Here is a 13,343-nt window from a genome sequence, read left to right as displayed (position 1 = left end):
TCCAAAACAGAAAAGTGATGTTATTAGAGGTGTGTCAAAAATTAAGTTTTGTTGGTACAAGTAATATAAAGCTACCTACGTGCTAACAACGATACAGTTTAATGATTAACTGAACCTCTTAACTGTAAAACCCAGGAGTCTTGGAAAAAAATTAACATAAAGATTAACCAGGGCCACTCTCAAGGAAAGATGGACTGCTGAGCCATAGTTTATGGAATTACTTAAGTGGCATTTTAATATATTAAGTAAATTCATGTAAATTTATTTGAAAGTATAAGTAAGCTCTACATGGCGATTTTTAGAGTTAAACTAGGGCTCCACTTGTTAATGTGCAAAAATAACTGGTGGCTCAGCACTATGGTAGCATATAGTTGCTCAACTTTTCATGATTAGAAAGAAGTGCCTCAACCAACTAAATATACACACTAGTTTTTTGCTATGGACTGTTTAGGGCCTTAAAATCTATAGATGATTTAAAAAAAAAAAAAAGGTTTTTTTTTGTTTGTTTTTTGTTTTTTTTGAGATGGAGCTTCATTCTTGTCGCCCAGGTTGGAGTGCAATGGCGTGATCTCAGCTCACTACAGCCTTTGCCTCCCAGGTTCAAGTGATTCTCCTGCCTCAGCCTCCCAAGTAGCTGGGATTACAGACGCCCGCCATCTCGTCCGTCTAATTTTTGTATTTTTTAGTAGAGACGGGGTTTCACCACGTTGGCCAGGCTGCTCTCAAACTCCTGACCTCAGGTGATCCGCCACCTCAGCCTCCCAAAGTGGTGGGATTACAGGCGTGAGCCACTGCACCCGGCCTAGAATTTCTTTAAACAATAAGACTTCTGATATGTAGCTTGAAGAGAGAAATGACTATTCAGATATGATCGTCAGGTATGGGAAGTTGGGGAATAGGAGAAATTGCTGGATGATGCCATTTCAACATGAAGGAATGCATGTGGCAAAAGTTGGTAGTAGAGTATAACCAGAGTTGTTTCAAACAGGTATCCCAAAGATAACTGGCTATAAAAACCCGAAGTGTGAGACAGAAGTTGGAATAGGAGCCAGATATTTGAGAGCAGTAATACACCCCATGTGGACAGTAATCAAAACCGAGAGTGGATTAAATTACCTAGGGAGAATGCAGGGTTACAGAAAAGTAACCCAAGGACTAACTTCTTGAGAAAACCAAGTTTAAGGAGTAGGCAGAAGGAGACACCCAAAACAAAAAGGAAGAAATAGAGAAAGTAATCCAATAAAAATGATGTCAGGGAAGCCAAAGGAATAAAGACTTTCAAGAAGGAAGGAGATGTAATCAGGAAAAGGACTGAAAAGTATCCACTGGATCTGGCATTTGGTGGCTCTTGAGAGAAAAGTAAGAGCAGTGATGGCAGAAGTCAAATTGCTGGCTTGAAGAGCTTCAAAAGCTAGGCAGAGAGGGCTGAGGGGGCTGGAGGTGGAGGCACAGACAACAAAAACTTGTATTAGGATGAAATATTTTATAGACTATGGGAGAGGTTGACTATATAGGAAATCAATTCATTAGAAGGTTATTGAGGGGGAGAGAATTCAAAGCATAAAAATTTGCCTTCATCAAATAGTATAACCTCTTATGGGCTGCATAGCGGGCTTAACAATGAGTACAGCTGTAGATTATTTTAAAGGCAGGAAGCAGCGAATGAAATAGGAATTTTAAGCTAGCACTCACAAGGTCACCATTCCCAAGACTCTTAACATCCATGAGGACAGAGCCTGGCCAGTCTTCACTGGTATATCTCAAGCATAGAAGAGGTAAAGAAGTTACTGAGTATGGAAAAGGTAGAGAGAGGACAGGGGCTTAAACAGGAAAGTCTAAAAATTAGAGTCCACGAAGAGAATGTGGACCACTGAACTAGTGGCAGGTAAAACAAAAAAGCTGACGGGTTGGAGACTTGTTTGGCAGTGGCACCAGTCGTAGGACTTTTTCCAATAGTCTCAGTGGCCCAAGAAAATAAAACACGTAAGTTTCTGGACTTATGCAGGGCTAGGGCTTTCCCAGGTGAGGTAAAGGATAAAGGGAAGACGCTAAAAATATTGATCAAGAGTAGTTCTATCATAGCAGGGGTTCCCACACCTGGTTCATCACCAGACTACCCGGGAAACTTAAAAACTGGATTCCAGGGTCCCACTTCAGACCAACTGAATCGGTACCTCTCAGTGTGCAGAATAGTATTTGTTGTATTTGAGATGAGCAGAGAAGGGAAGATGGAAGGGAATGACTGGGAAAAAAATGTCACAAAACTCAATATCCCACTGATCGTGAGGGGCTCAGGAGCAAGGAAGTAAGAGAAGGATAGGTTATGGGCAGAGAGTGGGTTGCAGTATAAGATCTAACAGAACAATTGTGCCTGACAGTAAGACATGGCTTTGGGTGTGAGTGGCTGGTACAGAGTAAAAATAACACCTCATAGATGTGAGGCTGGCAAGGACTTGTAAAGCTCAGGGTGACAGGTAAATTCCTCACGTCTTTTGACACATGTAGAGGAACAACCAGATACTTACAGGAGCTAGTAAGGAAGTAAGGTATGAAGCATAAGGGTCTCAAAAAATGATACAAGTAGAAGTGGTTTGGAAATAGCAAAAAGGAGCTAGGAAAATTTTTCAATATTGCCTTCCAGCCCCAGGTAAATTAGAAAAGGGAGAATGAATTGCCTCCAATCAAGTGGAACTGGCCTTCACATTCTTTTTCCTTTTTGTTTTTAAGTGCTGTTATTATTGTTTCTTCTAAACAATGGGCATATATTTTAGTCCGAGTACAAAGTTTAAAAGACCCTTAATAAATAGCATTTTTTTAAATTAATATAAGTGAAAGAGCAAAGAAAAGATCTGTGGTGATACTGCCACAGTAAATGTTAGACAAGTAAATATGGCCATACAATTTAAAATGTTTTGGCCCATACATCAAATTTAGATAAAGAGTTCATCTAATCAGTGATTCTGGGGCACCTAATATGTGCCAGGCACCATTCTAGGGACCAACTATGACAAAACAAGTCCTTACCCTCCTGGGGAAATAGATATTAGGAAAATATACAGTATGTTAGATGTTGATAAGTGTTCCGGAGAAAAATGTAAAAAGAAATGAGAGTAAGAGTACTGGAGGGAAAAGGGAAGCAGAAATTGTTACTTTATAAGATGATCAGGAAAGGATGATTGACGAGAGATCTGAGGGAAGTTGGATGTTCTTGGAAGAGAAAATTTCAAAGCCCCTTCTTAGGTGGTGAATGTTCTTGGCTTGTTGAAAGAACAGGAGGGGTACTGGTGTAGCAGAAATTAGCAAGGAGGAAAAGTCAGACGGACAGGCTAGAGGTCAAGTTGTATATAGCCTTATAAAGCCATCGTAAGACTTTTAACTTTGTATGAGATGAGAAGCCATTGGAAAGTTTGGGACTGAGAAATGACATGATCTAACATTTTAAAATAATATATAATGACATGGAACAGTTAAAATTATCAAAAAAGGATCTTTTATAAAGTAAACACTGATAATAAAATTCTGGCAGTAACTAGGTACACAAAATCTATTTTTTGTTGGTTCACATCTTAACAATTGTTTAATATTCTGGAAACTGTACCACTGAAGAAAGGCATAAGGTAACTTACTGCAATTTGTCTTTTATCTGTTTCTCCTCTTTTATGATGAAGATCTAATGAATCAGTTAAGGAAAATAAATCTGATAGTATTAAATATAATGAGAGAATCTCAACTCATTTTCAGTTTTGATTTGGAAAATATACAATATTAAATATTCCTTTAATTTATAAAAATGGATCATTCTAACATCACACACATGGATGAAAGGATACAAGTCAAGTATTCCAAAATGGTAACATCCCATATGTAGTCGTAGTAGGAGTCCATAGCATCATGACTGAAAGACAGAATTCAGTTACTTCTTAAGCAGAAAAATGTTGACCTCATTATTTTTAAAATATTATTCATACCTGTTTTGTTCTTGCAGAGATTTAAACGCTGTTTTGTAGTCAATTTCTCTGAGGAACTGACATAAAATGGCCACCTACATTAACAAAGATTTGAAAATGGTTTCATGTAATGAAAGCTTGGTTTTACAAGGTAATCTTGAATTACTCTTATATTAAGCCTTATAGATCACATTGAATCCGCTCATAGTTATGGATTCCATCCAATTTTAATTTCAAAAACCTTTATACACGTGTCTGTCTGACCAATATTCTCTTCATCAGTGACCTCAACCACAAATTTTAGAGGTTTGTTTGAATGAGAAGCTGGCAAAAAGCCAGTTCAGAAAACTGAAGGGGATGGAAAACTGCCAAGCAAAAGTGTCATGACATTCAAGGACATACAGAGTGTGCAATTAAACCTTTCATAGCTGGCAAGTATAGACGCTCATTTTGGAAAATTTAGGCTGCCAATCTGCTTAACATAGAAAACATTTCACTCAGGTCATAATGTCCATCTCTTTAAAAAATAGTTTTTATTAATTTAATTCAGAAACCATAAAAGTTACCCTCTTAAAGTACCCAATCTGGTGGTTTTTAGTATATTCACCAAGTTGTACAACCATCACCACTATGTAATTTAAAAACATTTTCATTACTTCCCCCAAAAAAGTCCATTAGCAGTCACTCTCCATTCCCTCTCACCTCAAGCCTCTGATAACCACTAATTTACTTTGTCTCCATACATTTGCCTACTCTGAACATTTCATATGAATGGAATCATAGACTATGTAGCCTTTTGTGTCTAGCTTCTTTCACTTAGCATAATCTTTCAAGGTTCAGCCATGCTGTACCACGTAACAGTAACTCATTCCTTTCTATGGCTGAATAATATTTCATTGCATAGATATGCTGCATTATGTTCAGTCATTCATCATTTGATGGGCATTAGGGTTGTTTCTACTTTTTGGCTATTATGAATGATGCTGCTGTGAACACTTGTGCACAATTTTTTCTGTGGACATATGTTTTCAGTTGTCTTGGGTATACACCTAGGAGTGAAACTGCTGGGTCATATAGTAATTCTTATGTTTACCTTTTTGAGGAACTGGGAAACTGTTTTCCTGAGTCTACACCATTTTGATGCTACACCATTTTATATTCCCACCAGCAACATATGAGGGTGCCAATTTCCCCACATCCTCACCAACATTTGTTTTTAAATGTGTTTAGATTACAGCCATCCCAGTGGGTAGGAAGTGGTATCTCATGGTTTTGATTTGCATTTCCCTAATGACTAATGCACATTTCTAAAGTATCTTTAAAAACCTGAAAAATGCTTTTTTCCCACTTAGGAGGTTTAAAGGTCAATGTTTTTAATTCATACTTTCATTTTAGTTGACATTCTATAAACTATTTAAAAAAATTTAAAGAATATGCCAAACTCTTACATACCCTAAGTGATTTTGATATGGAAAATAAAAGCTAATTTCCAGTTCAATGCTTTATATTTATTATAAACTCTAACATATGTAAAAATAAAACAACTTCATAATATTATAAACTAACCTGTGTGTGGCAATTCAGCAAAGAACAACATTTTATCATTCGTTTTATTACCTACAAAAGCAAAATTCTCATTATTTTCAAAAACCAGCTAACATGGATTCTAACAAATGTGTCACTCTGGTATGGGATGTCAAAAGAGGAAGCTGTGTGTGGAGGAACGGGGGATATATGGGAACTCTGTACCTTTTATTCAATTTTGCTGTGAACTTAAAAGTGCTGTAAAAAATAAACCAAAAATCTAATAAATGTTCAATCTTATTTTGAAAGCCATTATAAGTATTTTTAAAATATCATTTAAGTTATGGTACTGGTAGCCTACATCAGAGGAAATGGCAATGCATATCAAAAAAAAAAACGGACAAAATTTGACACCAGGTGCAGGAATGGGGAGGAAATGGGAAGAAGTAGGTCAAATGGCACAAATTTGCAATTAGATAGAAAAAGTCTAGCAAACTGATATACAGTATGAGGACTAGAATTCATTATACCATAATGTATACTAAAAAATTGCTGAGAGTAGATTTTAGGTGCTCTTATCACAAAAAATGGGTAACTAAGGAAGGCAATGGATATGTTTTTTTGTTTGACTGTAGTAATCATCTCACTGTGTATATTAAAACATTATTCTGTATATCTTAAATATATACCAAAGAAATTAGGAAAAAAAAATAGGGATTTAGGAGATAGAATCCACAAGATGTGAGAGCTAACTGGATGGTGGCAGGAGGGTCAGTAAAGAAAAAAGCCAAAAATGATAGTCAGGGTTTGGGCTTGAACTACTCAAATGGTTAAACAAAAATGTTTGGTATTTTGCAGGTTTTTTGTTTTTGTTTTTGAAAGGACAGGTGAATTTATTAGGAGTGTATTAGGAGTTTATTACTTTATGGTAAAGACAGACACAAATCAGTTTGGACAAGTTGAATTTGAGGTGTTTTGGGGGAATCAAGACAGCAATAGGTGCTAGAAATAAGGACAATGAAAATACACAGAGCAATGTGTTCTAGAGCCATGAACCTGGGACTTACGATCACATTACAAGGAAATGGGTAAGTTCAGCCAAAAGGGGACCCAGGAAGAACATATACAGGTAGGCAAGAAACCAGCCAGCCCACGAAAACAATTCACCTGGTCTGTATAAACATCAGGGGGCACAGCCTTGTTAAAGAAGTCAGAACACACAGCTCCTGCCTGGAGGTAATAGTGAAGAGCTGCTGAATACTGATTCGTTGCTGAAACAGAAAAACAGACATAAAGCATTAGAGGTAACAGTTGAAAAACAGGGATTCCTTTGTAAAGAGTCAGGTGTAACTTCATAAGTTAACAAAAGCAGATTCAAACCACAGAACTAGAAATAAAATGTTAGTTCGTATTTCTTGCCAAATGTCCTAGTACAGAATTTAGTATCTGGAGATTTTATTTCCCAAATGTCCAAACGAGAAACAAATTATAATTTTGTGAAGTAGTTCAGAATCGGTATATCAAGAAATTGACAGCTATCAAGCTGATATCTTGAACTTGATAGATATCGAGAACCTGATAGCTTCTTTTGGGGGCTGGGGTGGAAATGAGCATTAAAATCAGCATTTGCATCAAAATAATCCAGAGGAGAGAGGAATGATGTGGGAAAGGGAACACGTGAAACAAGACTGGCCATGAGCTAATTACTGTTAATTAGTAGCTGGGTGGTAGACCCACGGTGTTCAGCACACTATCCCTTTTATCTTCATATCTTGAACTTTCCCTTTAAAAAATTCAACTCATTAGGAAACAAGCATGATAGGAAAAAATCTTAAAAATTAAAAACCAACTCCTAAAACACAGATTCTGAAATGATTCTAGTCAGAAATTTTATTTGATCTGTAGAGTAATAGAAGCATTGAAAGTTTCGTATCAAGTGGGAAAACCTTATCACATATAACCCAGCAGAGGAGTAATGGGGAGAGTTAGGATCTATCTTCAAGAATAAAAATAATGATCAACTGTACCTGCAGAGATTTTAGAATCTCTAAACAGCATTTTAAAAAGAAAACCTCATTCTCCTTAAAGATTAATTAGATTTAAAAAATTCATGCTGGGCGCAGGGGCTCACGCCTGTAATCCTAACAATTTGGGAGGCCGAGGCGGGCAGATCACCTGAGGTCAGGAGTTCAAGATCAGCCTGGCCAACATGGCGAAAACCCGTATCTACTAAAAATACAAAAATTAGCCAGGCATGGTGGTGGGTGCCTATAATCCCAGCTACTTGGGAGGCTGAGGCAGGAGAATCGCTTGAACCCGGGAGGCGGAGTTTGCAGTGAGCCAAGATCGTGCCACTTCACTCCAGCCTGGGCAACAGAACAAGACTCCATCACACACACACAAAAAAAAATTCACTGTTTTTTTGAAAAAGAGAATAAAGGTAGTCAACGTAAAGTTAAAAGCATCTGAACCAAAGGCTCTACACTAAAAAAAAGTACAAATACTTTTACTGCTTTAATTTTACTAAAGACAAGTAAATCTCAACAAAACTTAAGTATTGAAATAAAATAGGTTATATATTTACTTTCACTTCAAAAAGTGCTATAAAAACAAAACACAAAGCAACTAAACATCTCACTTACCAAAGTAAATATCTGCCTGGATAATTAACCAAGAATGGTTATTTGGATTTATACTGAGTGTATATCGAACTAGCTCTTTCACTGTGATTGCCACAGCTTCAAAGTCCACAGACTGGAGGCTAAAAGGAAAGACACACAACATTAATCTCTATTTTAAAAGTCAACTTTAAATTCCATGCATGTATTTATTAAAAACAAAAACTCAGCCAAGATTTAGGTGAACATAAATATAATGCTAAATACTAGGAGTAAATGTATTATAAGAACTATCAACACAACTAAGTCTAAGAAAGTGTGATGGGCTTTTTATGAGGGGTTGAAAACAATCTGATTTTTGTTCTCTTTTCTTCAGAATGTCAAAGGTAGACAAGGCTGCACCAAGAAAGTGTATTTGCCTCTTTTACAAATGTTTAAAGCATACAGAAGTAGTGAGATAAAACCCTTACCTCTGCTTAGCACAATTTATGGGCAACAAAAGAGACTCATAAAATTTCCCCAAATTATTATTATCATTTTTTTTTTTTTGAGACGGAGTCTCACTCTGTCGCCCAGGTTGGAGTGCGGTGGCACGATCTCAGCTCACTGCAACCTCCGCCTCCCGGGTTCAAGTGATTCCTCTGCCTCGGCCTCCTGAGTAGCTGGGATTACAGGCGCTCACCACCACACCCAGCTAATTTTTTTTTTTTTTTTGTATTTTTAGTAGAGACGGGGTTTCACCATGTTGGCCAGGCTGGTCTCAAACTCCTGGCCTCAGCCAATCTGCCCATCTCAGCCTCCCGGTGCTGGGGATTACAGTCCTGAGCCACCACACCTGGCCCCCAAATGATTTTTAAGTTCTGTTATCTATGAGAAGTTACATAAAAATCAAGGACTCAGACACTGACAATGTTGCCTTGTGGCCTTACATCCACCTTAAGCCTTCTTGCAAGAGTTACTGACTCCCCTCGAGATGCTTCAGGGGCCTAATGGGGTCAGGGGCTGGATGTCCAAGTATATCATATCAGTGCATCTGGCAGCCCCCAAGAATCAAGAAAAGAGTACTGTGAGCCTGGCTAAATGTGGACACCTTCAGGTACAGAGTCAGAAGATTGAACTGTGAAGAGAAAAGCGAGGCCGGCACCCAAAAAACTGCTAACTGCTCCCACCTCCTAAGAGCAGTAAAGCACAAGGGTAGAGAATACAGGCTGTGGATTCAGACGCATGGCTCTATCATTTACAAGGTGAATTTAGACAAGGTACTTCTGTTGCCCTGAGGGGTTACAGTTTACCCTAACTCACCAGAGCCCAGTACAGTGGAAAATGAATTGTGGGATTATTAGCAAATAGTCCATTATTTATTTAAATTTAAATAGTTATATAAGTTAGATTGGCTTACAATTTTACAGACATTTACAAAATGTTACAAGTGTAAGAATTCTATATATCAAGTAGTTGGTTTTAAAAACGTAATCTTCAATCCAGTGCCATTCCCACTATTCTTGGAATCAATAAAGAGTCCCACTCAGGAGAAATACTTTTCTCTAGTCAAACATTTAGTCATATTTTGTTTTCTCTGGGTCAATTTAAAGTACTTTCATCATGAAGATAATAGTTAAGCCTACTATGTACCAGTCTTTATTCTAAATATCTAGCTTAGAAAATGTATTATTTCAGGCCAGGTGCGGTGGCTCACGCCTGTAATACCAGTACTTTGGGAGGCCGAGGCAGGTGGATCACGAGGTCAGGAGATCAACATCATCCTGGCTAACATGGTGAAACCCCGTCTCTACTAAAAATACAAAAAATTAGCCAGGCATGGTGGTGGGCGCCTGTAGCCCCAGCTACTTGGGAGGCTGAGGCAGGAGAATGGCGTGAACCCGGGAGGCAGAGCTTGCAGTGAGCCAAGATCGCGCTACTGCACTCCAGCCTGGGTGACATAGCAAGACTCCATCTCAAAAAAAAAAAATAAATAAATAAAAATATATTATTTCATCCTCACAATTCTTAGGCAGGTACTATTTTAGAGATGGGGAACATGGCACAGAAACCAACTTATTGAAGGTCATATACCTCTAAGTGAAAAGGCTGGGGCTCAAACCCCGTGAGTCTGACCCAGAGCCCCTAGGGTAAACAATTCTTTTGCCTCATTTACAAACACGCTGGAAACCAATCATTACAGTCTAAACTTAGGCCACAGAGGTAATACTACAGAGGCTAAAAAACACAACCATTAGGTGGGGCGCAGTGGCTCATGCCTGTAATCCCAGCACTTTGGGAGGCCGAGGTAGGCAGATCACAAGGTCAGGAGTTTGAGACCAGCCTGACCAACATGGTGAAACCTCATCTCTACTAAAAATACAAAAATTAGCTGTGTTTGGTGGCACGTGCCTGTAACACCAGCTACTCAGGAGGCTGAGGCAGGAGAATTGCTTGAACCCGGGAGGCGGAGGTTGCAGTGAGCTGAGATCATGCCACTGCACTCCAGCCTGGGCAACAGAGCAAGACTCCGTCTCAAAAAATAAAAATAAAAATAAGTAAATAAATAAATAAAAATAAAAATTAGCCAGGTGTGGTGGCACACGCCTGTAGTAATTGCTCAAACCTGGAAGGTGGAGGTTGCAGTAAGCCGAGATCGTACCATTGCACTCCAGCTTGGGTAACAGAGTGAGACTTTGTCTCAAAAAAACCCCCAAAAAACAAAAACACAACCACTGAAACCACCAATTAAAAAATGCAAAACTGGGCTGGCCGTGGTGGCTCACGCCTGTTAATCCCAGCACTTTGGGAGGCTGAGGTGTGCAGATCACCTGAGGTCAGGAGTTTGGGACCAGCCTGACCAACATGAAGAAACCTGTCTCTACTAAAAATACAAAATTTACCCAGTGTGGTGGCACATGCTTGTAATCCCAGGTACTCGGGAGCCTGAGGCAGGAGAATTGCTTGAACCAGGGAGGCAGAGGTTGTGGAGAGCCGAGATTGCGCCACTGCACTCCAGCCTGGGCAACAAAAGCAAAACTCTGCCTCAAAAAAAAAAAAAAAAAAATCCAAAACTGGGTGGGCATGGTGGCTCACGCCTATAATTCCAGAGCTCTAGGAGGCCAAGGTGGGCAGATCTCTAGAGGCTAGGGGTTCAAGACCAGCCTGGGAAACAGGGTGAAACCCTGTCTCTACTAAAAATACAAATAAATAGCTGGGGGTGGTGGCATGCACCTGTAATCCCAGATACTTGGCAGGCTGAGGCATGAGAATCGCTTGAACCTTGCAGGCGTAGGTTGCAGTGAGCTGAGACCTCACCACTGCACTCCAGCCTGGGCGACAAAGCAACGTGATGTCTAAAAAAAAAGAAAAGAAAAGAGAAAAGAAAAGAAAAGAAAAACTGTCTCTACCTGATTCTTGAATTGGTATCTAACAACAGATTTTATATAAAAATCAGGAACACAGGATGACGGACTCTGCAGTTCAAATGCTGTGGAGCATGCACATGTGCTTCATGCAGCATGGTGCTCCCTTGGGAAACAAGCCTCAGTAAGTGGAGGGCAGGGGCACTCACCTGCTCTGACCCTCCAAATCCCTGGATGAGACAGAGAGCTTTTCCAATCTCTAAGATTGAGACGGAAACAAATTCTTTACTATTATTCTATTATCAGCTTGTCTATGTACCGAAATCTTTTCTTCTTCAAAGATGCCACTAAGAGTAATAACATAAGGCTTGGACAAGCACAAACTAAGAAGACTGAGAGGGAGGGCAGGGAGGAAAAACATCTGTGAGGAAACAAGTTGATTCCCCTACATGAGAAGTGCTATGTGTGGGAAAAGAAAAATGTACATGATTTCTTCAAGTAAATGAACCCTTTTTCCTCCCCTAAAAAAAGTCCCCATCATCTTACTGTGATTCTCAGGTAGTGCATGCAAAAGGGAATATTTCTCAAAGTAATTAAAGAAGTTTAGTTTAGTTCCTACAGCAACTAAAAGAGATTGGGAGCCTTTTGATAACTGCAGCATTAGATGAGACATACAAAAAATTATGAAAAAAGAAATCACTTTCAAATAGATACTTGTAAAAGAAATAAGATGCTGGAAACCTGATAGAAAGTCATTCTTTCATTGGCCCCAATTTTCCAATTCTACTGAAAATCAGGACCACTTATATCTTCTGTTCCAAGGCTGATAAATCTTAACTCCTACTTAAGAGTTATGCTGGGCCAGGTGTGGTAGCTCCTGCCTGTAATCCCAGCACTTTGGGAGGCTGAGGTGGGCAGATCACTTGAGGTCAGGAGTTTGAGACCAGCCTGGCCAACATGGCAAAACCATGTGTCTACTAAAAATACAAAAATTAGCCAGGCGTGGTGGTGGGTGCCTGTAATCCCAGCTATTTGGGAGGCTGAGGCATGAGAATTGCTTGAGCCCAAGAGGCAGAGATTGCAGTGAGCAGAGATTGTACCACTGCATTCCAGCCTGGGCAACAGAGTGAGACTCTGCCTCAAAAAAAAAAAAAAAAAAAAGGGTTATGCCTTATCCACAATTTACAGGAAGATAATTATCATTATCATAATAGAGAAACACAAAGACTGTAGAATCTTAGATTTCTGGCCCTTTAATAAAATTATCTAAGGGTATCTATACTAGTCAGAATGGTTTCCAAATACATAACTCAATTAATAAAATAAAAGCTATACCACTACTTACTTGGGAATGGAAGATGGCCAAATAGAAATGTGTTCAGCTGTAATATCATTCACAATGTCCTCCTTTAAAAAGAAAAAAAAAGGTGTGATTTACAAAGAAATTTCTTTTAAATTTTTCTAAATGAAATTATGAAATACTTACCCGAACATTGTGAAGTTTCACAAAGAGTGATAAAATAATAGTCAAAACGAGTGGTTCCTATGAGAAAGAAAACACAGAATCCTTAAACAGTGTATGTATATTTATTTAATATTGCTCCTGTCAACCTCACAGACATCAAGCATTCTAAAAGACCCTTGCCTTTTGAAAATGTAGCATCTGTTTTAGCATGTGCTTTAGCACACTAAAAATCAACTTTTTAATCGCATGTGGGGGCGGGGCGTGGACCATAGCACATAATTTACATAAAATTAGCATAAATGTTTGGCTTATGGTGCTATCTCCACGCTCAACTCCTCACATGACTCTCAAGTAACTTTTTATCCCTTAAAATAATGTTCAAAGAGTGAAACCTAGGTTACGTCCAATAAGTAAATATGACATTGATCCTACTAAGCAAAAATTA

General features: G+C 38.7%; 1 protein-coding gene across 5 annotated transcripts in view; it reads right to left on the bottom strand.

The window, feature by feature from the left end:
- The window catches only part of INTS8 (integrator complex subunit 8), a 58,460-nt gene that overhangs the window by 1,631 nt on the left and 43,486 nt on the right, over positions 1-13,343 (bottom strand). For 3 of the 5 annotated variants that reach the window (NM_017864.4, XM_047421951.1, XM_047421952.1), the window contains 8 exons: positions 12,920-12,976; positions 12,779-12,840; positions 8,114-8,232; positions 6,639-6,742; positions 5,514-5,564; positions 3,969-4,042; positions 3,831-3,895; positions 3,627-3,670 (listed from right to left, as the gene is read on the bottom strand). In NM_017864.4, the coding sequence (NP_060334.2) occupies positions 3,627-3,670; positions 3,831-3,895; positions 3,969-4,042; positions 5,514-5,564; positions 6,639-6,742; positions 8,114-8,232; positions 12,779-12,840; positions 12,920-12,976 (576 nt within the window). Of the gene's footprint in view, positions 1-3,626; positions 3,671-3,830; positions 3,896-3,968; positions 4,043-5,513; positions 5,565-6,638; positions 6,743-8,113; positions 8,233-11,302; positions 11,425-12,778; positions 12,841-12,919; positions 12,977-13,343 lie in introns of all 5 variants that reach the window. The other 2 variants (NR_073444.2, NR_073445.2) reach the window with 1 other exon arrangement.

The sequence above is a fragment of the Homo sapiens genome, chromosome 8, assembly GCF_000001405.40.
Source record: "Homo sapiens chromosome 8, GRCh38.p14 Primary Assembly".
Taxonomy (NCBI): domain Eukaryota; kingdom Metazoa; phylum Chordata; class Mammalia; order Primates; family Hominidae; genus Homo; species Homo sapiens.
The sequence above is the reverse complement of the archived record's forward strand: the minus strand, read 5'-3'. Positions and strand labels throughout refer to the sequence as shown.